Source organism: Homo sapiens, chromosome 5 (assembly GCF_000001405.40).
Source record: "Homo sapiens chromosome 5, GRCh38.p14 Primary Assembly".
Lineage (NCBI taxonomy): Eukaryota > Metazoa > Chordata > Mammalia > Primates > Hominidae > Homo > Homo sapiens.
Genome location: NC_000005.10, coordinates 170,712,069 through 170,738,489, shown reverse-complemented (window position 1 = coordinate 170,738,489; position 26,421 = coordinate 170,712,069). Strand labels below are relative to the sequence as shown.

Here is a 26,421-nt window from a genome sequence, read left to right as displayed (position 1 = left end):
TTTTTCATCTCTCTGCCTTGCCTTATGTGATCTCTGGCTTATTAACCCTCTGATTATTAGATAAACTCTCAGAATTCCTAAATAGTTACTGGCATGTCTTAGGGCTATGTGCGCTCTCATTCATGTCTGGTGAGGGAGAACATCTTTGTCTCATCATTCCCAGCACTAGTTTGGAGATTCATGCTGTTTGAACCAGCGTGGGTCTCAAGCCTATCCCTGAATTGATCCTTGTGGCCAGGGGGATGGCTCAGACCACGCGCTTCATTCGCAGCTCTAGATGTGTCAGTTCTCCACCTTAGCCCTGTGTGCCCAGTACACCCACCTGGGTGGCCTCTAAAGAATTCTGAGGCCCAGGTCCCACCTTCAGGGATGTTCCTTCAGTTGGTCTGCTGTGGCATCCAGATGTTCACATTTTTCAAAGTTCCCAGGTGATTCTGATGTGCAGCCAGGGCAGGGAACACTGGCCTAGACATCATAAAGCCTCAAGATGCAGGTTAGGACCCCATATGGGAAGAGTCTCTAGGACAGATCCTCTCTTGGGCCTAAGTAGATGCTTTGCTGGGGACCAGCCACATGCCCAGAAGCCTTAGGGAACCACATGGCTACATGCAGGAAGCCCAGAGGAACAGGTCTGAACTATCCAACAAATTCTCATCATCACACTTACAATTTCCAACCATAAGAGGCAGCAGCCAATGGCCATCTGAGTGGGATGTGTCATGAATGCAGGAGATGTTTTTGTGGCCTCCCCCTGCCGGTGACTGTGGCTGCCTGAGATATTCCCCTTCTCTGCATCTGTTTCTCCATCTGTTACACAGACTCAAAGAACACCAATGCCTCTCTGAACTGACTTCAGATGAATGAGATTAGTGGGAAGTATCCTCATCCTTGGGGTGAGGCAAAATCCCCTTGTAGGAAGGGTCTATGATAGAGCGAGAAGAGTTTAGCCTCCCTATGGAGTCCCTATCAGCTGTGCTACCTTACGCAGGTCCCCCTTACCTCTCTGAGCTTCAGCAACCTCATCAGTACAACCAGGACTCTACCATCTGGAATGCTCCACATGAGCATGAAATAAGATAATGTATATAAAGCCCCTAGTGCAGCACCTGGCACAAAATAGGGTTTCAGTAAATTGTTTTCCTTCCAAGAATGCTACTGTTAGCTTTTAGTCTTTCAAATGTGATGTCAAATGGGGAAACTAAGACCCACAGTGTTCAACATGAGTAATCATTTGCTGGTTATAGGCTGAAGCCGCTTGATGGTCCTCTAGAGCCTAAAATCTCTCAGCAGGAGGCCCCGTCATCCTCTTTATCTCTGCACTCCCACTCACACCACAGGGGCTCCAGGCTTTCCATATCAGAGGGTCTTAGAAGTGGCAATCTTGTTGGAAGCAAAGTGTTGTGAAGGGTCTTGTCTCGAAGTTGCATTTGCATTTGGTCACAGTATTTGCATTTGGATTGGATGTTTGCTGGGGAAGGCTTGGGGGCTGGGGAGGATGAAGTCATTGCCTGGCACAGGCCTGGCACAACGTAAGTACAGTTGACCCTCCAACAACATGAGTTTAAACTTATTGGGTCCACTTACATGCAGATTGTTTTCAACCAAAAGTGATAGAAAATGCAGTATTTATAGGATGTGAAACCTGCATATATGGAGGCCAAATTTTCTGAAAACACGAGTCCCTCAGGGCTAGCTGTGGGACTTGAGTATCTGCAGATTTTGGTATGGAGAGTCCTGGGACTGATCCTTCACACATATGGAGGGACAACTGCACTAATAATTGGGTGTCAAATGAATGGACTAGCCTTCCCTTTTCACAGCTTACCTCTCTTACCTAACGGAGTCATGAAGAAGTGATTGAGAGTGTAAGAAATAGTTCTGTTTATTGGTTAGAACATGGTATAAAATTACAGCAATTTGCAGGCATTCTGGACTTCTTGGGAGGGACATGCAGCGCTGGGCTCAAGCAGGGGATGTGGTGGAGATATGGACCACTGGGCAATGGCTCCCTTCCTGGACATATTAAAGGACTTGTACTACCAGCACAAATGCCAGTGTGAGAGAATTATTGGTCCTCGTTTCTGGAAACAAATGACATGGGCAGTTTGGGTCATCAGACAATATCATGCTTAATAATTCAGTCCTATCCCACATATGTTAGGTGCTGGCTCTCCCAATCTGGTCATGACAGATCCTAATTGTTCTGGATAACTCTCATTCTTCCCACCAAAGGAAGAGAAACAGGCACATTGGTTTGGGAGGCCATCAGAGATGGTGTGCATCTGGCTCAGGTCCTCTTGCTTCCAGATTCACCAAGGTCTGCCTGACTTGGAGGCAGTGGGCTGGGGGCACGTAAGCAGCATATTTTGTGCACTACTGTTTAAGCTTAAGCAGAGGGACCTTCCATAGGGCAGCAGTGTGAGGAGATGAGCATGCTTCCAAAACAAACTCAAATTTCATCTTGTCTCTCTCAAGAAGAAGAAAGAGGAAGAGTTGGCAATCAGAGACTGAGCCACATGATGCTGGGTTCCATAGAAAGTCTTCAGCAGAGAATTCTTCCAAAGTGTAAAAGGTGTTTCTGTCCCAAGAGTTGGTGTGTAAAATCAGAACAAGGGCAGATCAGGGTGTTAAGGTGGTTGTTTAGTACAATGTCTCTGAGAGCTGAATGGCTGAGTGTCACCAGTTACATGACATTTTGAAACAGCTGGAGAGACCTCATGATGTTGTCGTCCTGGGAAAAAAGGAGGGCAAGAGGGTTAGAACTCTGAGTCTCCTCCCTGAGAGCTCTGTAACTCTGGTGAGCAAATGTCAAGCATGGGTTTCCTATATGGAGAAAACTCTACAAGGGTATGAAAAACAAGAAGTAAGGGTGGGGACCTAGAAAGTGATCAGTTCAAAGTAAGAAGCACCACCTGTAGCCTTAAAGAGGAATTCAGAAGAAACAAATCATCTAGTAAAATAGTGAGTTGCTTCTTTTAAGAAGCTCTGAACAATTACATCCACTGAAATGATTATATTTTTTCTCTTTTTATTCTATTAATGTGATTAATTACACTGACCAATTATTGAATGTTAAACCAACCTTGCATTCCTGGAATACTGCTTTAGATCCTACAAATTTTGATAAGTCATATTTTTATTTTATTTTTATTCGAGATATTTTCTTCTCTGAACCATGAATTAGAAGTGTATTGCTTAATACCGAACATTTGAGGATTTTTCTACATTCAATACTATACCTCAGAGAAGAAATAATAGAAAAATGTAAAATACAGAACATGCAATAGAGACATACAGTAAGAAAACCCCCCAAAGCGCTCTCTTTCAAAAAAATCAATAAAGTAGATAAATGCTTATTAAGACTGCTTTTCAAATTATCAATATCAGAAATGAAAAGGTTAATGTCAGTATAGGCTTATTTGGCTCATTATTCTGGCAGCTGGAAAGTTCAGCTGGGCATCTGCATCTGGTGAGGGTTTCAGGCTGCTTCCACTCACAGTGGAATGTGAAGGGAAGCTGGGTGTGCAGAGATCCCATGGTGGGAGAGGAATCAAGGTTGGAGGTGGGGAAGGTGCCAGGCTGTTTTACAACCAGCTCTCAAGGGAATTAACAGTGAGAACTCACCCCCAAGGGGGTCAGTGTTCATTCCATTCTAGTTGTTAAATATCTTGGATATCACCCTGCACATAGGACATCTACATAACAGGGTGGCTGTGATGTTTATGTATGTGCTTGAAACTTGATGGGGGCTCAGTATCTGCTAGGAACTTCTCCCCGGCTTTCTTACATTTGCTATTCTTCTTGGCTGGAGCTCAGAGTAACTCTGAACATTTCTAAAATAATGTGGGGGTACAAATGGATTTCTCAAAAGTAGATGAAGCAATTATTTCCAGTTCAGTCTCTGGTGGACTCTGGGGCTGGTCTATTGGTTAGACTTAATGAAAGTTGTGTTCCCAGGATCAGCATCACCAGTGTGACTGGGGAGAATGTGAGAAAAGTAACATCTCAGGCCCTACCCCAGACCTATGGAATTAGAATCTGCATTTTAACAAAATCATCAAGGATATTGTTTCACACATTAAAGTGTTAGAAGCATTGGTCCAGGACATTTGTGTTAAAGTGACCCAGATCTAGAGTCTCTGGGATTGAGGCCTGGAAATATGCATTTTCAGAATCATTCCAGGCAATTTTTATGCACACTGTGGTTTGAGAATCACACAATTGTAGGTTTTTTTCCCCCCAGCTGCTTCCTTGTAGTCTGGGAAATGGGTCATCAAGCCAGAGGCAGGCTAAAAAATAATGGTGTTGCCCTCTCGGGAAGTCTATTTTCACAGAGACCCCCTCTGAGTTTTCACATGCCCCCAGACCCCTACTTAGGCTCTCTGTTCAGTCTTGTGCTTAGCCAAGACCAACTGCAGGTCAGGTTGAGGAGTGGAACTGTGGACTTCACAGTTGTTGCTGGTGTTGTTGGCTCTGATGGGAGGGGTTGCAGGTATGTGCAGGTTTCTCATCACCTTCCTTCTGCAGGTCCCCAGGCCCCAGGTTTCCTTTCCCAGATGTAGAGTTATTGTGCCCTGAGATCTCTCCTTACCTCCTGACATGATTCAAGAAATTCATCTAAAGTTACGATGCCATCTTTATTTTTGTCCATTTTCTGAAAGACATAACAGAAAGCACTTTACAGAATCTGGTGATCTCCATTCCAAAGCTTACTCCCCTGCTTTCTTGCTGGAGCTCAGAGTAACGAGCTGGAGCTCATTTCATTCATTTCATTAACCAACTTTGCCCTGAGAATGAGAGTTGTCTTTCACTGGCCAGACAACTCCAATTAGGTCCTGATTACAACACTTTGAGCCCCATGAGCTTCCTTAAATCAAAAGACTTGCTCTGGACACTCATCACCTCACTGCTGGCTTATTCTGCTTCTTCTGTAGACTCCCTGCTACCCTGTCCATCTGGCAGAACACTGGGCAAAAGAGGTTCTGATTCTGGCCTGTTACTTGCTGTACAAACTTGCACAAGGCCAGAGAGGACTCTCTTTTCCCATCTGCAAAGTGGGAGGTTGAACTAGAGTGAACTCTTGATATTCTCTGATACTCCACCGCTAGATTAATTTTTTCCTAAAATGCCCCAATGATTATACCACTCCCTTAGTCAAGGATCAGCACTAGCTGCCCATCCTGTACCAGAGCAAGGCCAAACTCTTCCATTTAAAGGTCTCATAATCTGGCCCTATCCTAGTTTCCAATCTTATTTCCCCTTACTTCCCAGACACAAATGCTTAACACCTCCACAGTTGTAATTAATGAAGTCTTTCGTGTTTACCCTGATCCCCAAATTTTTATGGATTTAGAGTTCATACTATACCACTAGCGTTTAATAATATACTTTCTTGTTCTCTTCTGTCATGTACACTTGCAGCTTAAGGAGATCATCTGTTTCTTGAGGACAATGTATCTTATAATTCTTTTCTGTTACCAACCATGCTTAGTACAGGGTTGGACACAAATCATTTGCTCAGATGCTCGTGGGTTGACTTGATCTAGGCTGGGCTTACAGCTCATGTGCAGGGTGTGTGCACTTACCTGGAAGAAGACGTCCACATGCTGCCTTGGAGTGTCCTCTTTGAGCACAGGATATGTGTATTTCCCCATCATGTCATAGATGGCTTTGACAATGTCCATCATCTCCTGGAGCAGGGACATAAAAGCACACAGTGTGGAAACCATGAGGTCAAGCTCTTCCTAGGTGACAGAGTTTGGGGCTCCTTGTGCCCCTTGGCAATGAAAGTGATTAAAAGGTGAGGTCCTTCTTTAGCAGGTGATAGGGAGTTAGAAGCAAGCAGAAGGGGATATATTGTGGGAGCCCTTCTTAGAGAGGAGATGGTAGACAATTCCTAAATCCCTCAGAAGCTCATGGGTAGGTTACCTTGTTATGGGCATTGTCTTCAGTGGGGGGTGATTTGTGGGATCCCCATTCACAGGCTTGAGGCAAATAAAATACTATTCTGAATTTTTAAAAAGTTAATGTTCTAGCCTAGAGATTTAAAAATCCCCATAGTTTCTGCCACTGTTTTCAGTTAAGAAAAATGAACCAACAGCCAAGATTATCCACAGGGCACATGAGGCCAATAGTTCCACAGACTGAGGCCCTTATTAAAAAGATCAGTTCTCAAGTCCACTCCAAACCTATTGAATCAGAGAACCTTAGGACTCGGTCCTGAGAGTTTCCGTGTTTATCAAGGTACATTGGGAACCATTATTCTGACCATTCTGGCCCAACTCAGAATGGGGGTAAAAGAGCATTTGGGATGTTTGACCTGGTTTCTACAGAGACCCAGGGGACAGTCTCATTCCATGTGCTTATTTTATTTTATTTTTTGTTTAATTTTTGCATATTATGAATAATTTTAGACTTACAGAAAATTTACAAAATTAGTACAGAGAGTTCATGCATACCTTTCACTCAGTCTCCTCTAATGTTAACAACTTGCATAACCAGAGCACAATGACCAAACCCAGGAAATTAACATGGCTTCACTATTATTAACTAAACTACAGGGCTTATTCAAATTTTATCAGCTTTTCTTTTTTTTTTTTTTTTTTTTTTTTTTTTTTGAGACGGAGTCTCGCTCTGTGGCCCAGGCTGGAGTGCAGTGGCGGGATCTCAGCTTTTCAACTAATATTTTTTTCCCTTCAATGATTCTACATTGCATTTATTTGTTGTGTCTCCTTAGTCTCTTCTAATCTGTATGAGTTTCTCATTCTTTTTTTCTTTTTTCTTTTTTTTTTTTTTTGAGACAGGTTCTTGCTCTGTCACCCAGGCTGGAGTGCAGTGGCACAATCCCCGTCACTGCAGCCTCGACCTCCCGGGTTCAAGTGATCCTCCCGCCTCAGCCTCTCAAGTAGCTGGGACTACAGGCAAGTGCCACCACACCTGGCTAATTTTTTGTAGAGATGGGGTTTTGCCATGTTGCCCAGGCTGGTCTCAAACTCTTGGACTCAAGTGATCTTCCTGCCTCTGCCTCCCAAAGTGCTGGGATTATAGGCATGAGCCACCATGCCCAGCCTGAGTTTCTTTGTTTCCTTGTCTTTCAGGACCTCACACTTTTGATATGAGTACAGGTCAGTTGTTTTGTAGAATGTCTCTCAATTTGAGTTAATCCCTGGTTTAGTTATGATTAGATTGAAGTTATGCATTTCTGGCAAGAATACCACAGAAGTGATGGTATAACCTTCTCAGTGCGTCATATCAGGGAGTTACATAGTGTTGAGATGTCTTATTACTGATAATGTTAACCTTGATCACTTGATTAAGGTGGTGTCTGTCAAGTTTCCTTACTGATTTAGTATCTTTCAGTGGATCTTGCCTGCAAAAATTATTACTGTAGTGTTTGCCTGATGGTAATTTTGTATTTCCTTTATTCCTTCTATACTTATTAATTACAATTCTTCTGTAAGGAAGAGCTACCTTCTCTCCTGCATTTATTTATGTATTCAGTTGTTTATTTACATTAGCATGGACTTGTGGGCATTTACCATATTTTACAGGTTATAATCCAGTACTTAATAATTTTTAATTTTGCTCAAATTGCTTTCATTCTGACTATTGGGAACTCCTTCAGGTTGACTCCTGCAGTTTTTTTTTTTTAAGCACTTTTATACCTTCAGCATAATAAAGTACTCCAGGCTCATCTTGTATTTTCTCTTTCCCAATCTTAGAATCAACTATTCTTCAAGAAGACTGGTTCTGTTTATCGAAGAATGGTATTTAGAAATCAAAGTCTAGGTACTAGTATGCTCACTGCTACAGGGATGTCATTGCTCTGAGGTGCCCTCAACAGATAGAACGAGGAAATAGATGTCTCTATCCATGTGTTTATTTTTAAATGTGTGCTTTACAAGCCCTTCACATCTACATGGCCATTGATGCTTTTCCTGTCTGATATTTTTTTTTAATCACAGAAAGAGCAATTTTGTTGCTCTCTCAGGATTTTCATAGCCTACAACTTGGATGAGGTTATCTCCAAATGATTGCCAGGGGAAGATCCTGCTATCTTTTCTGAGAAGCTACTTATCCACACTTTCTTTTTCTTTTAAGGGGTACTTTATTAACTCTGCCCTCCAGAGAGGTCTGATAGATTAATGGGGAGAATTCTGCCTAGTTTGCAAATTACAAAAAGGGAGTAGGCACTAGTAAGTTTATTCAGTGATGGAATAATGAGTGAACCAAAGTTGAAGACCAACTAAATCCTATTTCTGTATTTTTTTCTTTATATGTTTTGCAAGGTAGTATTTGAATATTTTAGAGTATCATATATTTGCATGTGTATATAAGCATTTAGTTGTTTATAAAATTGAGATATCATACATACCACTTTATCAATTTAAAATGTAATATATTTAAAAATTTAATATATCATACTAATGTTTATTTTATATTACTCTTTCATGATTTTAAGTGGCCACTGGCTATTCCATTATATGTATTTACTGTAATTCATTTTACAAATCTGCTGTTAGTGGATATCATGGCTATCACATTCTGGGGCACTATTACCTGAAGACTCTTCTTGCTTTTAAGTCTTTGTGTCTATTCTTTATTTCCTTGGGACATATACCAAGGTGTGGTTTTATAAGGAGAATGGGATGCATAACTTTCAATGCTTTTGATACATATTCCTCAAATACCTTTTAGAAAGTTTATTATCAGAACACTTTCAGCAACTATGTATGAAAAACCACTTTCCACCAACCTTCAACAAAGACTTTACAAAACCTTTGCAATTTAATAGATAAGTGATAATTCATTGTTTTTAAAGATATACATTACTTTCTTAGTGAGGTCTCTAATATATGTATTGACTATTTTTATTTATTTTCCCATGAACTATTTTTTCATCTGCTTTGCTCATTGTGTTCACCTATTTCTGACTGGATTGTGAGAGCTCTTTATATATTCGTGTAGATTTATTAAATTGTTAAAATATCTTAATAGATTTTTAATTTATTTAAAGGTATTTTTACGCATCTACCATGTGCTAGATATTGTGTCAAAGAAATACAAAGATAAGCACGATGAATATGACTCTTGCCTTTGTTAAGATGAATGTCTACTGAGGAATATCAATCCTTTCTGTCATCATAAATTGCAGATTTTTAAAAACAAGTTTGTCACTTACTTTTCAACTTTGTTTATGGTATTTTTTGATATGCAGAATTTTAAAATATTTACAGTGTAAAGCCATCAATAATTTAAAAAATTGTTTCTAACTTTGATTTTATGCTTTTTCCATTCTTTGATCAGATATTCACATATGATTTTTAGTTCTTTTTTAGTTAAAAAGCAACTGTACATATCTATAGTGATTTTGTGTTTATGGTACCGAGTAAGAATATTTACTTACTTATTGCCAAAATAGTTAACCAGTTTTCCAAGAATCATTTAATGATTCATTACCTCTCTATTCAATATGCTCCCTTTATTATGAACCAAGATGGTATTTGTACCTGGGATTTCTATTTTGTTCCATTGATCTACCTGTTCCTTCTCTGATATTATAATATTTTAATAGTTTCAGCTTTATAATATATTTCAGTATCTGGTAGAACAAATCCCACCATTTTTCTTCTTTTTGAAAATTATCTTTGCTATTTTCATCTGATTAATCTTCCAATGTAACTTTATAACAATTGTGCCAAATTTCCTTCCCAAATAACACTTCCATTTTGATTCAAAATAAAATAAATTTAATTAGAGAAGAATTGCTGTCATTATAATATTGCTATCTTTATAATATACATCCTTTCAGAAGATGGTATGTTTCTCTACTTATCAAAATTTTCTTTCTCTTCATCTAAATTATGGATATTTAAAAATGCCCATGTGCTTTAAATTTTATTGTGATCACAATGAGAATATTTGTATTACAATTTTCTAGCTAGTCACAACTGATATATTGGCTACACAATTTCTTTTTGCATATGTATTTTATTACCAGTCACTTTGCCAGCTTTTTAAAAGTTCTAGTTGTTTTAAGTTGATTTTCTTGCTGTCTTTTTTCTCAGATAGAAAATCATGTCATTAACAAGGAATGTTGTAATTTTTCCTATTTAGATCGCATTTCCTTTTCTGTTTCACTGTGTTTGAAGAGCTTTCAGGAAATGTTAAACAGTGGTGATGTCTGACAGTGTGCAGACATCATCTTTTCTTGCCTCATCTTTTCTTCATCATCTTTTCTTGCCTCATCTTTTCTTCAGTGAGAATCTCCGCGTGTTACCATAAAGTATGAAGCTGTGTACCAGGCTGGGGTATTTTCTATTATGCTGAAGAAGTATTTTATTCCTAATTAATTGAATCCTGAAAATTATTATGAATAAATGGTAAATTATATCAAATGTGATTTTAGCATCAAATGGTTTGATCTTTTGATATATTAATGTGATAAATTATTTAATAGGCTTTCTCTGCTACTGGGCTATTCCTGCATTCCTGGAATAAACCCTATGTTAGTCATGTGCATTTCTTTATTTTATTTTATTGCTTTTTTGAGGAAGGGTCTTGTTCTGTTGCCCAGGCTGGAGTGTGGTGCAGTGATTATGGCTCAGGGCAGGCTTGAACTCCTGGGCTCAAGCTATCCTCCTGCCTCAGCCTCTGGAGTAGCTGGGAGCACAGGCACGTGCCACTACACCCAGGTAATTTTTAAATTTTTGTTTTGAAGAGACAGGCTCTCCCTATGTTGACCAGGCTGGTCTTGAACTCCTGGGCTCAACCCATCCTCCTGCCTCAGTCTCCCAAAGTGTTGGGATTACAGGTATGAGCCTTTAAACAGAGCACTGGGATTAATTTCCTATTATCTCATTTAGGATTTGTAATCTATATTTTGGATGATATTGAGTTCTTATTTTCTCTTACCTGCTTTATTTCACAGGATTTTTTTCCTTCAACACATTTTTTGAGTGTCTTCTATTGGTTAGGCACTTCCCCCTTACACCAAGTTTTTCAACAAATAAATCAAATTTATTGGAGCATAATTTACTTATAACAAATTCACCCATTTTAAGTGTACTGTTTGATGAATGTTGACAAATGTATCCACCCATGTAACCTCCACCACACTCAAGATATAGAACATTTTCACAACCAAAAGACATCCCTTCACACTTCTTCGCAGTGAGTGCCTCTCAAGCTTTGACACCAGGCAACCACAGATCTAATTTCTGTTACTATAGATTAGTTTGTATTTTCTAAAATCTCATGTAAATGGAGTAAAACAGTGTAAACTCATTTGCGTCTGGCTTCATTTACTCAGCATGAGGTTTATGAGCTTCATACACATTGCTGCATGCAACTATAACATTCCTTTTTACTGCTGAGTAATATTCCATTGGATGAACAGACTATGATGTATTTACCCATTGTCCTGTTGACAGACATTTGGGTCATTTAAGTTTTGAGATTACTATGAATAAAGCTGCTATGAACATCTTTGTACAAGTCTTTATGGAATTACATATTTTTCTTTTGGGGGTAAATATCCAGGAGTGGGACTTCTTTTCTTCTTCTTTTTTTCTTTTTTTGAGACAGGGTCTTGCTCTGTCACCCAGGCTGGAGTGCAGTGGTGCAATCTCAGCTCACTGCAACCTCCACTCCCCAGGGTTAAGCAATTCTCCCACCTCAGCCTCCCTAGTAGCTGGGACCACAGGTGCTTACCACCATGTCTGGCTTTTTTTTTTTTTTTTTTTGTATTTTTAGTAGAGACAGTGTCTCGCCATGTTGCCCAGTCTGGTCTTGAACACCTGAGCTCAAGTGATCCGCCTGCCTCAGCCTCCCAAAGTACTGGGATTATAGGCGTAAGCCACCATGCCTGACTGGAATGGGATTTCTGGGTTGTATGTTAAGTGTGTGCTGAGCTTTATCAAAGATGCCAAAATGTTTCCCAACGTGTTTGTACCATTTACATTTCTGCCAGCTATCTATGAGAGTTTCTATTGCTCCACATCTTTGCCAATGCTTGGTATTATCAGTCTTTTTAATTGTGGCCATTCTGTGCAATTGTATTTCATTATAGTTATAATTTGCATTTCTTTGAAGACCAGTGATATAGAGCAACCTTTCATGGGTTTACTGGCCATTCATATATCTTCTTTTCTTAAATATCTCATCAAATCTTTTGCCTATTTTATATGAAGTTGTTTATCTTTGTATTAAATTATAAATGTCCCTTATATATTTTGGATGCCAGTCTTTATATTGGTTTGGTATCCTGGTATCTTTATATATCTGGTATATAATTTGCAAACATTTTTTCCAAGTCCATGGCTTGCATTTCCATTTTCTTAAAGGTGTCTTCTAAAGCACAAAATTTTTAACTTTGATAAAGTCAAATTTATCTACTTTAAGAAATGATTCCTTATCCTTTCCTACTCCAAAGTTGTAAGAATGTTTCTCCTATGTATTCCTTAAGAAAACAGCTTTTGTTTTAATATTTAAGTCTATAATCCATTCCAAGTTGATGTTTATGTTTGGCATGAGGTTAAGGTTAATGTCCATTTTTGTTTCCAAATGGATATACAGCTGTGAAAACACGGTTCTTTCCCCTTTGATCTTTTTGGCATCTGTTGCATTGACATATGGGTGGGTCTATCTCTATTTTTAAAAAATATTTATTTTTTATTTTTAATTTTTGTGGGCACATAGTAGGTGTATATATTTATGGGGTACATGACAAGTTTTGATACAGGCATACAATGTGTAATAACCACATCATGAAAAATGGGTATCCATCCCTTCAAGCATTTATCCTTTGTGTTACAAACAAACCAATTACACTCTTTTAGTTAAAATGTTCAATTAAATTATTGACTACAGTCACCTTGTTGTGCTACCAAATACCAGGCCTTATTCATTCATTCTATTTTTTTTGTACCCATTGACTATCCTAACTTCCCCCACAGCCCCCCTACTATCCTTCCCAGCCTCTGGTAACCGTCCTTCTGCCCTCTATCTTCATATTGTTTTGATTTTTAGATCCAACAAATAAGAGAGAACATGGGATGTTTGTCTTTCTGTGCCTGGTTCATTTCACTTAATGTAATGACCTCCAATTCCATCCACGTTGTAGATGATTAAATCTCATTCTATTTTATGGCAGAAGTACTCCATTGTGTATAAGTACCAGATTTTCTTTATCCATTCATCTGTTGATGGACACTTAGGTTGCTTCCAAATCTTGGCTATTATGAACAGATCTGCAAAAAACATGGGAGTGCAGATATCTCTTTGATATACTGGTTTCCTTTACATGGGGTATATAGCCAGCAGTGGGATTGTTGGATCATATGGTAGCTCTACTTTTAGTTTTTTTGACTCTCTATTTTGATCCATTGATCTATATGTCTATCCTTATGCCAATTCCCTACCATCTTGACTACTGCACATTTTCATTAAGTCTTGAAGTAAGGTAGGTTTAGTCCTTCAACTTTGTTCTTTTTCAGATGTTTTGGTTATTTTAGGTTTTTTGCATTCCCATATCAACTGCTACAAAATACCTGCTGGGATTTTGATTGAGATCACACTAAATCTATAAATCAAATTTGGAGAATCCACATCTTAACTATATTGGGCCTTCCAACCCATGAGCATGATTTATCTCTGTGTTTATTTAGTTCTTTACTTTATTTCAGCAATATTTTATAGTTTTCAGTGTATGAGTCTTGCACCTGTTTTGTTGAATTTTTCTCAAAGTATTTTGTGCTTTTTGATGCTATTTTTCTTAATTTAATTTTCTGGTTGCTTGTTGGATGTAGAATTATAAATGATTTTTGTAAATAGAACTCATGTCTTCACTTTGTTAAATTCACTTATTATTTTTAGCAGTTTATTTGTAGACTCTTAGGGTTTTCTATTAATACAATTATACCATGTACAAATAAAGACAGTGTTAATTCTTCCTTTCCAGTCTATATCCCTTTGGTTTCTTTAAATATAGTGAATTATATTGATTGGTTTTTGAATGTTAAACCAACCTTGCCTTCCTAGAATAAAACTCACATAGTTGTATTGTATCATCCTTTTTATATATTGCTGAATTCAATTTGCTAATATTTAGTGAAAGCTTTTTTATCTGTGCTCACGAGGGAGACTGTTTTGTAGTTGTTTCCTTTCATAAGACCTTTTTTTCTTTGGTTTGGGTATCAGGGTACTATTGGACTTATAAAACAAGCTGGGAAATGTTCCATCCTCCTCTATTTTCTAAAATTTTTTTGTAGGATTGATATTAGAATTCACCAGTCCACCATCTGGGCCTATAATTTTATTTGGGAATGGTTTTTAACTGTGAATATAATTTCTCTAAATAATACAGAGCTAGTCAGATTTTCTGATTCTTTTTAAGTCTGTTTTTGCCTTTTGTGTCTTTCAAAAAACATGTTCATCTAAGAGCTTCCCAGGGGAATATGGATGGGCCCCTTACCCTAGCCCTCCACCATCTGACTCTGCTGACCTGTCAGGCTCATCCTGCACTAGTCTTCAGCTTCATACCTTCATCTGCAGCCATCTGAAGCCTTTCTGTTTTTGAAACACATGAAGCTCTATCTTGCCTCAAAGCCTCTCTAGTGGCTGTTCCTTCTGCCTGGAACACTTTTCCTGGCTTTTTGTATAACTGGTTCCAGTATGACGACACCTCCTTGGAGAGGCCTTTGCTAACCTTCCCTGCCAAAATATCTTCTACCTGCTGATTCCTTTTTGGCCTGTTTATTGTCCATCTCTCTATGCTGCTCCAGTGTGGGGCCTAGTCTGATTGTTCACCTCTTTACCTCCAGCACCTAGAACACCTAATAAGCCTTCAAATCTGTGTTAATTAAAAACATGACTAAATGAATGAGGAATGAAAGTTGGATAAACTCTCTGAGCTTACAGAGAGAAGCTTGCCGGGTTGAGGTGAAGATTGGTGCTGATATCTATACCTCCAGGCACCGTGCCTGGCACACAGGAGCTCAGCAAGTGGAGTGTTACAGGATGCCAATTTCCAGCTTCCACTGAGATACCAGGATACAGTGGATACCAAAGTGAGTTTTGAGATAGACCTGAGGGTATTTCACTGGCTAGAGACATGTCCTCTGAGGTTCTAAAAGTGCAAAGCAGTGAAGATTCAGAAATTATTTGTGATAATTTCTGTAAAGACAGCTGTACCTTCCATTACCCCCTTGGCGGTTGTATTAATAGGCAAAATAGTTTAAGGCCAATATGACCCAATTGTAGGTTCCTCTTCCTTAAAAATCTTTCTTTTCTATTCTAGGTGCTGCCTACAATTCCACCATTTCAACTTTTAGCTTTGACTTGTGGCTCCTAACCTTCCCAAATGCAGGTTCCCTAGGGAAGAGTAACTCTTCACACTGAAACAAGTCATTTTTATCCACTGTGTAATATCTACTGAATCTAGGTGACCCAGTGAGAATGAATCTGTTTAATCCTTTCTGGGCGCTTGGGAACAGGGCAGGGTAGGGCAATGAGGGAGGCCTTCTTTATTTTGCCAGGGACCAGCTCTGTTAGCCCCAAAGCAGAGCCTGCCTCATTCAGACAGTGCTATCCTCATGCCTGGGGCTGTTTTCTGTTGGGTTAGTTACCTTCACTGGAGCCCTCTCACACCCCTGGCCCCAGCTCACTTACCTCTTTGTTTATGTATCCGTCCTTGTTGATGTCATACAAATTAAATGTCCACCTTAGTTTCTCGTGGACAGTTCCTCTCAATAAAATCGACAGAGCGGTTACAAAGTCCTGAGAAGGGGAAAAGGCAGAGTGACATTAACCATCAAGCCATCAGACAGTGTGAAGCTGTGTCTTTGGGTCAGACTGTGATACTCTCACAGAATGGTGCCTCCTGCGTCCTCTTGTCTGCCTGGAGGATGTGGCTATGCTCTGTGAAGAGCTCCTGCCTTCAGTTCCCTACCCTGCCCCATTTTTTTGTTTTTTTTTGCAAGGTGCCCCCTTGAGGAAGAATGGAGCTCTGAGAGACACAGATCAACACAGCCAGCCCTGTTTTTGCCTTATCCATGGCTGCAGTGGTCTGTCTATCATCCCAGTGGCCGTATGGTCTAGTGGCTGAGGACGTGGACTGTAGGAACAGTCTGTATTGAGGGTCATTCTGCCTACATTCAAATCCATCCTTTATCATTTATGTGCTCTTTGACCTTGGGAAAACTACTCTATCTCTCTTTGCCTTACTCTCCTCTTCTGTAAAAAGGTAATCAATAATAAAACCCTACCCTATAGGGTTATTGTGGGAATTGGAGTAAATGAATTAATACATACAAAGCCCTAAGTACAGGGGCTGCCACTGGGAAGCAGTGTGCCCGGAAGCTCATACACTGTTGTTATTAGTCCCCTGAGTCCCTGAGTTCCTGCAGGCCAGGGAAAGTTGCTGCTGCTTTTCCCCATCTTTAGGAAATGCTTACAAATGGATAAACATGTCTTTGGTCTGACTGAGAGCTTTTGATGGTCCAGACCTTCCCCCAATGCCTTGAGATTTAGAGGGGGAGGTGATGCAGAACCAGAGGACCCCTAGAGTGGACCCCAGATGAGCGTACCTCGAACTTCACGGAGCCTGTCTGAGTGGTGTCGAAGGCATTGAAGAGGTAATGGGCATACGTGCTGGCATCTACAAGGCAGAAAAGGAGGGCAGGTGATGGGGGCAGGAATTCCACACAGGGAGAACCTTCCAAACAAGGCAGGGCTTCGACAAGAAAGAGAGGAGAGTGATGCTAGGGTGATGGAAAGGAGAAAATTATGGAGTGGGGCCCATTGACTCAACTCTTTGGGTTTGGGTGTGAAGTTAGATCTAGCAAAAAGTGAGATGAGCCCTTGCCCCTCCCTCTAGCCATCATGAGAAAACCATTCTCCTGCCTGTCTATGCATGGAGTCGTTGGTGTATGAATGGCACAGTGACTGCATGACAATGTTCTTCTGAACGGCCATGAATGCCTGGGATGAGCACTCACTCCAGAGTAGAGAGACCTGAACTTGGATGCCGCTGTACTACATAAGCTATGTGACTGTGGGCATCAAGCACGACCTCTCTGAGCTTCCCTTTCCTACCTCTCTACAATGGGATGTAGCAAGACCTATCTCTTGAAATTTTTTAAAAAGTATTTTAAACTACAGCTGTGCCTGGCATACAGTGAGAACTCAATAAACAGTGGCTCAGTGGAACTCAGCAAACTGCAATTCTGGGGCCTGCATGGGACAAAACTGCCTCCCCCACCTGATCTGGGTAGGGGCCCCACACACCAAGGAAGGCATCTGTCTGCTGCCAAAAAGGCCCATGAGAAACAGGGCCCAAGAAGTGTTTGGAATACTTGGATTTGCATTTTGTCAGGATCCAGGGAAGATGTCTTGCAGGAGACAGCTCTTGGTGACAGGATGCAAAGTGGCATGTGACACATGGAGGCCACAGGAGGAGTCACCGATGTGGTCCCAGGCCCATGGGGACACAGCTGGTTCCCACAGGAGTCGGGCAGGGCAACAGAGCAGCTGTTGTGGGCCTGGCACACTTGTAAACTGGCTTAATAAGCACAACTTTATGTTTCCTGCCTCTTTTTCAATTAGTTTATTTTTATAGTCTTCGGTATTTACTGAAGTTCTTTTACAAAATTCCAGCTTGTCTCAGCTATTTTAAGGAAAAGATTCAAAAGTGCCCTGCACAATGGTGGTGCCAGCATGGCAAAACCTGTTTCAGACCCTTATGGAATCTAATCCTGGTTTGCTACTCACCAGCTGTGCAATCTTGAGTACACTGCTTATCTTCCCCGAAACTCAGTTACTCCATCTGGGATTATAATACCTGCTTTCTAGAGCTGTTCTGAGACGTTGTGATGTTGCATTATCAGCCCTTCTTCCCCTTCCAGGGTGGGTTCATTTTCAGAGTTCTTTCCTGCTAAAGCTTTGGAGACTCCCACCTCTCACGATGAGGGAGGTGTCCTGCCCTGAGTTTGTCTCTTCCTCGAGAAGGAAGCAAATGGCAAGGAAGAGAGGACTTGGAGGAAGGGAAGGCTGCTTACCAGAGAGGGAGCTGGGCAAGATAGATTTCAAGGTCAGACTCACCTCCATGAGGGAAAAACTGAGCATAGATCTGCTTGAATGTGTCTTCGTTGACCACACCACTGGGGCACTCCTGTGGGAAGGGGAGAGAGTCAGCGGGAGGCATTTGAGGGCCAGCACTAGGAGAAGACTGGGCCCAGCCTTGGTGTCTGGGGTTCCTCATGATCCCCAGGGACAGGGACCTGTGCATTTCCACTTCTCCCAAGTAGTGCCATCTCAGGACTGGAGCTGCTTTGCAAAATGATGAGACATTGTCAGAGAATGGGCACTGTGAGGTGGAGAGATTTGGGGCTTTAAGATCAGAAAAACCTGGGTTTAAATCCTGGCTCAGCCAATACTAAGCTTTGTGACTTTGGCCAAGCCAGTCTCTGATCCTCAATATCCTTACCTGTAAAATGGGGGTAACAATAACTTCCCCAAGGGTATCTTATGAACCTATGTTAGGTGGTATTGAGTCCATGGTAGATGCCAAGCAGTGTAGATTTCTTCTCTTTTCTGGATGCTGTTCCCTCTGAGCCCAGTGCCTGCCTGGAAAACTTTCCCACAGGATCCTTCTCCAACTCGGCTGCCCACTGCTAATGCTGCCATCGAAGGAAAGAAGCCCTAATGGTAGGAAACTGGGCACTTGGCATGTGCAGTCAAGGCTAGTGTGGAAGGAAGAGGCATCCCAGCACCTGTCAGATAACTCCCAGGAGGGGCTGGAATCCCTGTGGGTCAGCAGTTTGGAGAACATTGAGGCTGTGGTCAGTTTGGAACTGACCCAGCTCAGCTCTACCTACAGACTGCACCTGGAGGGAGGGTGACCAGGTGCATGTCGCTGTAGCCCACCCCACTCCACACCACTCCAGGATTTGGGAATAAGATTGCACTCTGAGAGTTAAACTTAAAAAATAAATTAATATCCAGGATTGTATCTGAGAGCTCTCAAACTGGCCTGAGACTGCAGGAACACATTAATGTATTTAAAGTAACAACTAAACAAGGAACTCCCGTCCTCTGACTCCACTTTTGATTGTAACCTGGCTTCCATGTGGCTTCCAAGGAGAGCGGGTCCCAGCGAAGGGAGAGGAGTGTCTGTTTCCACTGTCAGTTCCATTTCCCAAGGTAAATTAATACACCGACATTCGGCTTACACATCAGTCTCGGTGAGCCTGGTTAGCATAAGTCAGCAGGGCCAAATCCCATTATTGTGGGGGCACCACCAGGTTGGAAGGTATGATTATGTTAAGGGCTAAGGCTTGACCCTGGGCCAGGGTGAATTCCTTGAGGATGTGCCACCCTGTGAAATTTCTGGGCAGTTGGCCGTTTACTGTCTCCTGAGGTTGCTCCATCCTCGCCTGGAGCCTTCCTTTCTAGCCAGGTGATCTCCCTCTCATGCCCCCTTTATAGAGCTGGCCTTCCTTGTACAGCCTCACATATGGGAAACGCCTTATGAGCTCCCTTGGCATTGGGGAGAGTGTAGCCTCACGTGGGAACCCCCCCCAGGCCTTCAGAGCGTGCACGGGTCTTACATTTTTGAAGCCTCGATAAAGGACCTGCAGCTCCCTCTTGGTGAAGTTGGTCTGGGCCTCGAGCTGCTCCAGTCCCTCGGGCCGATGGCAAACCATGGTCATCTCCAGCTCATCTTCAATCTTATCTGGAACCAGAGGAGATGGCATTGGAATGGTTGAGCTTGGGAGTCATTCTTGTTAGGTAACAATCTGGGCTGTCAAAAGAGTGGTGTCACGACCTGGGATCTAGGACTGTGGGCTGGGGTCACACTGCCAATGGCCTTCCTATCTTGAACCCCACTTCCCTGCCCTGTCAGCCTCTGCGTCAAACACCACACAGGGAGGGGGCTTCGGCGTTGGAGAGAAACATGTTCCCAGTGGAGGCAAAGGCAGAAGTGCTCAAAATAAATCCATATGAAAACATTTTCCTTGCTTTAAAAATAACTTCTTTGCATATTCAAATTGTTTCCCATGGAACCTTCTGAATATTCCAGAGACACAGGCAAGTAAGCAGAATGATAAACACCTCTAGACAGCAAAGGGAAACAAAATTATTTAAAGAAACAGTAAACTCTCACCATTGGGGCCAACTAGGAATGGATAGCATGATTTAGCAGAAAGTTCAAATTACGGCATGTTAAGTATTACTGATAAAAATCTGAATGTATTTACAGCGTATTGTTTTGTAATGTCTACTAGATAGCCTTAAATACTAGGAAAATATCTTAAATGGGAGCTACTTTGTACAAACCATTTGAAAGGCTCTAAAAACAGTTGTTGTAAGTAGTAGTTTAAGTATGTCTCCCTTATGGACTATAATGTAATATAAGATTGCATTAGTTATTTAGAAAGTGTCTGTCAATTAAAGCAAGGAATCTGCCCATCTTCCACTGAAGGATCACAAGGTCCAAGTCCGTGGAATTTTCAACGTTTTACCATCACAGAGGGGTAGGTGAGTGATTTCCTTTGGGCCCTGCCAGAATGTGTTCTATAAACTTACACCAATCAAGAATCAATTGCCATCTAACCTTCTCTGCCTGTTGTTGTCATGCAGATATTACCAAATCCATCTATTGAACAACTGTAAATCTGGGCTGGCAAGAATAGTGATGAGATGGGTGGCTGCTGGGAATATGCACAGACCATGTCTCATCCTGTGGCAACCCACAGCAAGCACAGGCTGAGTTGCCACATCAGGTGAGCAGGTGTATTAAATTGTGTGCATTTCTCTCATCAGTGTTGGTCTCATTGCACCAGATTTTCCCTGAAATTGTCACTTTCCCTTTTGAGACTTTGATCCCAATACAAAAGGAATCCATCAAATTAAGTTTGTATCTTGTACATATCCCCAAAGGTGATGGATGTTCGTGTGAGGCTCCCGTAACTTGGTAACAATTCCTAATTGCCATCTTTCTCATGTGCTGGGCAATACATATCACCTTATCCTGCTGGGACTAAGGCAGATGATTTGTTATAAATTAGATACTGTTTACGCCACAGAGACAAGTGGCCAATTTCCCCAGAATTCATAATTCTTACAGAGCCTTTAATTATGGTTGTGTTTGTAGCTAACAAGATAAGTAGCAATTATCTAAACGCTGAAGCATTTCTACGTAAATGAAAGGGCTTATTCTCAAAAAGAAAGAAAGAAAAGGAGAAAAATTCACATAAGTCTAATTCAGAATGCTTATATACATATTAATATTTTACATCTATTTTAACCCATTTTAACAGAGAAATTAATTGTTGGTTTGAATCTCCTAGCATTAGATCTAAAAGCATTTTTATTTTTAAAATGCACATCTGTTTATCTGTGCATATATTCACAAGAAACTTCCGAAGGGGCTGCAGAGGTTTTCACATCCCTCCTTTTGCCCCTTAGGAATTCCCTGGGTACGGCCCAGGTGGCTTGAGTGAAGAAAGGAGATGAAGCAAAAATCACATTAAAATGCAAATAAAGAAAATGGGAATATTGTATTTTTTGAGTAAATGAGGTATTCTTGAAGACATCCAGTACACTGTTAGATTTATCTTAGCCAGAAGCATGAAGGGTTTTTTGCAGTACACTTAATTCCTTGATCTTCCTGTGACTGAATTCCTCACAAGCTCGGGAAATTTCTTTGTGGGAGCTTGAGAGACTCTTTCCGACTCAAGAAACAGCACTTGTTTCCCATCACCTTCATAAAAAATGCACTAAGTAATTATTGAGATATCAACTATTAAACCCACTTCATTAAGGAGGAACTGGACTTTATTAATAAATGAGTTGTTTGCTGTCTGGGTAGCAGGATCAACTTCTACATCAAACAGATTCTGTAGTATCTGCATATTTGGATACTGACTGCCAAGCTTTTGTTTTGTTTTTCGTTTTCATCATTGGCTAAGTGTCAGGCTGTGGTAACATCGGTTGTGGAAGGAAATTTACTTCTTTGGGGCTCAAGATGCTGGGAAGTAGCCTGCCTGTGGATGTTAGGTAAACCAGTGGCCCTCTCTTTGTTTCTTCTTTCTTTTGCTGTATTTTATAGTAAGAATTGTAATTTAAATCACAACCCAGTATACACACATGTATATAAGTGAAATGTTAATGAAATATTTTGAAACAAAAACTCCATGAAATGATCCCATCCCTCACTAATGTGAGCTGTGCTCTGGTCTTAGTTTTAATGTATTCCTTTGTAGACTCGTGCTGGTTGTGACGCTCATGGGTCATGACTTTTGATTGAACTGCACTGATTTAACTTGTCTACAGCTGTGGCAACCTCACAGGAGTGCCCACGCTGCCGCTCTCACATCAGCTCTCCCTTCCCTTTCTTTGTATGCCTTGTGGTGCTGGCCGCTGTAGACACATTCACAGGAAACTTTACAGGTGACGGGCAGCGGTTTTCACCACCCTCCTGTTGCCACCTGGGGATTCCCTGGATGAAGCCCAGGTAGTCCCAGTAAAGGAAGGAGAATGGCCCTGTTCCCTGTGTGCAGGAGGAGAGAAGAGCGTGAACCCGTGGGGAGCCTCCTTGACAGTTCCTTCTGAGGTTTGTTCAAAGTCTGATGCCAGATGTTGCTAGTCATTACTTTGTTATAAAAAATAATGATGAGCTAGTTACTAAGTCAGACTTAAGTTTGAATGGTTGAGATAAAAATTAACTTGAGATGTAATACTATGGCAATAATGACATAACAAGAATAAATTAGAGCACCTTTTGTTTGTAAAGTACTTTTAAGCCATTCAGCGTTCTCATGCCTGTTGTTCCATAACCTTACGTGTGAAGGGAGTGAGGGGACCATTGCCCTGCGCATGTGATATTAAGAAGTGATTTTCTAACTGTGAGTGCCTCACACAGTGATGAATACCTATCACTAGGGGCAAAGAGAGATGGAATCACCAACTCTAGAGGATGCTACACAGGAAATTCTCAGATTGAATAGTAGATGATTTTGATTAAGTGATCCTTAATGTTTTGGGATCATAGACTCTTCTGAGTGTGGAATGAGGGGTTTAGACTCTCTCAGGAAAAAAAATGCACAATCACTGCACATTTGCTTATTCAGTCATGTGTCGCTTAACAACAGGGATACGCTCTGAGAAATGTGTTGTTAGGCAGTTTTGTCATCGTGTGAACATCGTGGAGTATACTCACGCAAACCTAGATGGGGTAGCCCTGCTACACACCTAGGCTGTATGGTATGGCCTTTTGCTCCTAGGCTATAAACCTGTACAGTGTGTTATTGTACTGAATACTGTAGGCAATTGTAACACAATGGTAAGTATTTTAAGTATTTGTGTGTCCAAACATACTAAATTTAGAGAAGGTACAATAAAACTAAGGTGTAAAAAATAAAAAATGGTACAACTATTAGGGCACTTACCATGAATGGAAGTTACAGGACTGGAAGTTGCTCTGGGTGAGTCAGTGAGTGATGGTGAGTGAGTGTGAAGGCCTGGGATATTACTAAACATGAGGTAGGCTTTATACATACTTTATGCTTAGGGCTATACTAAATTAATAAATTTTTTTTTCAATAAGAAATTAACCTTAGCTTACTCTAACTTTATTTTACAAACTATTTGGTTTTTTTTCAAACTTTTGGACTCTTTTGTGATAACGCTTAGCTTAAAATTCACACTGCCTAGCTGTACAAAAATATTTTTCTTTATTTTCTTATTTTATAAGCTTTTTCTCTATTTAAAAATTTTTTATTTTCATTTCTTTTCTTTTAAAACCCTTTTTTTAAAATTACAAATGAAGACACAACCACACACGTTAGCCTGAGCCCACACAGGGTCAGGAACCTCAAGAAGTCACTGGGCAATAGGAATTTTTTAGCTCTGTTATAATCTTATGGGACCACAATTGTGTATGTTGTGTTGCTGATGGAAACGTCATTATGCAGAGCATGACTGTACTTTCAGTGGGTTTCTGTATCTGTTAAACACATCCAGCCAATGCTAAGCTATTCTAGCATAGGAGATCTCTTCTAAACCTTCTCACTAACTGGCTTTGTCTGAGTCCTAAGTCGTTGAGCAATGGGTGACATATCTGGACCTAGAATCCAGCCAGTCCAGGCCCCTTTCATCATATCTGGTTTCCACATGTCCCCACAGTGGATTCTGCTTTCCTCAAGCACAAATTGCAAACTCGCTTGTAGCCAGCCTTGCAGCACACATGCTCCTACGAAGCTGTGTGCTTGTGTACCAGTTAGACCTGGACTGTGAGCAGTGGGAGGACTCACACCTTGGGTCTTCTCGCCAGTGAGGTGACCCCTCTGTCAGGCTCAGGACCGTGACCATGACCATCTCCTCCCTGGACTGGCCAATAGTGCCTCCCTCATGGTGTCTCTGATTTGGACTTTATACTTACCCATCTAGCTTTTTTTTTTTTTTAAGATGGATTTTTGCTCTTGTTGCCCAAGCTGGAGTGCAATGGTGTGATCTCGGCTCACTGCAACCTCCACCTCCCGGGTTCAAGCAATTCTCCTGCCTCAGCCTCCTGAGTAGCTGGGATTACAGGTGTGCCCCACCATGCCCGGCTAATTTTTTTTTATTTTTAGTAGAAACGGGTTTTCACCACGTTAGCCAGGCTGGTCTCAAGTTTCTGACCTCAGGTGATCTGCCCACCTTGGCCTTCCAAAGTGCTGAGATTACAGACATGAGCCACTGCACCCGGCCATCCGTCTAGCTTTGAGGTTACAAAATAGTGATCCTCGGCTTGAGTGTGGCCCAAAGATAGGTCTTGTTTGACCTGTAAAATGTATCTTAATTATTTTGGAATTAGTTGTCCATGTTTAAAGATGAGAGATCCATGTACAAATCTGGATGTCTGATTTGTCTTGGAAAATGGGATTATCTGACAATTTTGGTCTCAAATTCAGACACTTCAGCAGCCTGCTAGAGCTGAACACCGGCTGTCCCCTCTGGGCAGCCACAGCCTCTAGGATGTCCTGTTGTTCACCCCTGGCTCACAGAATTCATTTATGCTGCTTGCCCTGTGCAATAGGCATTGAGTTTTTGGTTTTTGATCTATACCTACTTACCCTCCCACCTACAAACCACATAGCCTACTCCTCACTGTTTATTTAAACACATGCCACTTTGTTGCACAAAGGACTTGAAGCTGATTATAGGAAATAAATATGAAATAAAAAGAGATAAAGTAATAAGAAAAACTGCCTCAGTATATGTTGATTAGATTAGGAGGTGAAGACCATGGAGAAAAAGAGAACACAGAAATCCAGGCCATTTGTTTGAAGCAATTACTACACTTGAGCTGCAAATGGGCTCTGAGTTTTTACAAATGTCTGTAAAAGGAAAACGTAACCATTTCTTACGGGGAGCAAAGCTTTTCCTGTAACTTGTCTCTAAAAGAACATTTCCAACTGTTTCTATATATGTGGGGCTTGTTAACAAAGGACACAGAAAGCTGGTGCATGAGAAGACTAATTACAAAACATGAGCTTGATTAAGAAGCTCTGCCTTTGCAAGTCATGTGACCAAAGTCAGGTTAGTTTAAACTGTTTTTTACCTCTCTGATACTGGTAATACCACCAGGCGATGTCTAGGAAAGAGTGAGAAAACATTTTACCAAATCGATTCATCGAAAAGCAAAACACACTTTTATTGTCAATGGAGAGAGGCCGCTCTGAGGGTGTCCACGTCGTCCAGCTTGACATATGCGAAGAGCCTCTCAGTAGCAGAGCTGGAGCTGAGCTCCCTGTCCTTTTCCCATGGTCAGAACAGGCAAGAGCAGTGGGTTGCCTCCCAGTGCCCATGGCTCCCACAGGGGCTCATTGAACATGCCCTCAGCCATGCAGTCATGCAGCCTGCAGAGATGGGATGGCACATGGCAGAGATGTGCAATGTTGGATGGGTCCTTGGAAACACTCGCATGTTTGACTGAGGAGAGGCTTATAAGATACCCTCCACAATCAGGAGGCCCCCATTCCCCCTCTCTGCTTCTTTGTGATTGGAAACTGCATATCTTGTAGGATTATTTGTTTGCTCACTCCACCCAATAACTGTCAATGAAGTATCTACTAGGTACAAGTCAGTGAATAAAACAGCTCTGTTCTCTGTTCTCTTGGAGCTTACAGTCTACAAGTTTTTGATTCTTTCTTCCCCCATTAAGCTTGATTAGTAACCAGATGCAGAAAAAGAAAAGGGTAGTTGCAGAAGAGGGTTAGCCCATTAGGATGTGTGGCAGAGTGGATGCCGGCCAAGTCCCCCATTATGCAGAATATAAAATACAAGACAAAATACCAGACCTGGAAAATTATCCATGGCACAGTGGAGCTGGGTGAGTCCAAGGTCCCAGGGAGCTCCACTAGATACTCTCCTGCTGGC

The 26,421-nt window shown here is 41.2% G+C and overlaps 1 protein-coding gene across 6 annotated transcripts in view; it reads right to left on the bottom strand.

Moving 5' to 3' along the window:
- KCNIP1 (potassium voltage-gated channel interacting protein 1) overlaps positions 1,858-26,421 on the bottom strand; it is a 383,146-nt gene continuing 358,582 nt past the window's right edge. For 4 of the 6 annotated variants that reach the window (NM_001034838.3, XM_017009407.2, NM_001278340.2 and 1 more), the window contains 7 exons: positions 19,608-19,732; positions 18,100-18,169; positions 16,587-16,657; positions 15,670-15,777; positions 5,586-5,690; positions 4,592-4,654; positions 1,858-2,731 (listed from right to left, as the gene is read on the bottom strand). In NM_001034838.3, the coding sequence (NP_001030010.1) occupies positions 2,684-2,731; positions 4,592-4,654; positions 5,586-5,690; positions 15,670-15,777; positions 16,587-16,657; positions 18,100-18,169; positions 19,608-19,732 (590 nt within the window). In that variant the 3' untranslated portion in view covers positions 1,858-2,683. Of the gene's footprint in view, positions 2,732-4,591; positions 4,655-5,585; positions 5,691-15,669; positions 15,778-16,586; positions 16,733-18,099; positions 18,170-19,607; positions 19,733-25,603; positions 25,637-26,421 lie in introns of all 6 variants that reach the window. The other 2 variants (NM_001034837.3, NM_001278339.2) reach the window with 2 other exon arrangements.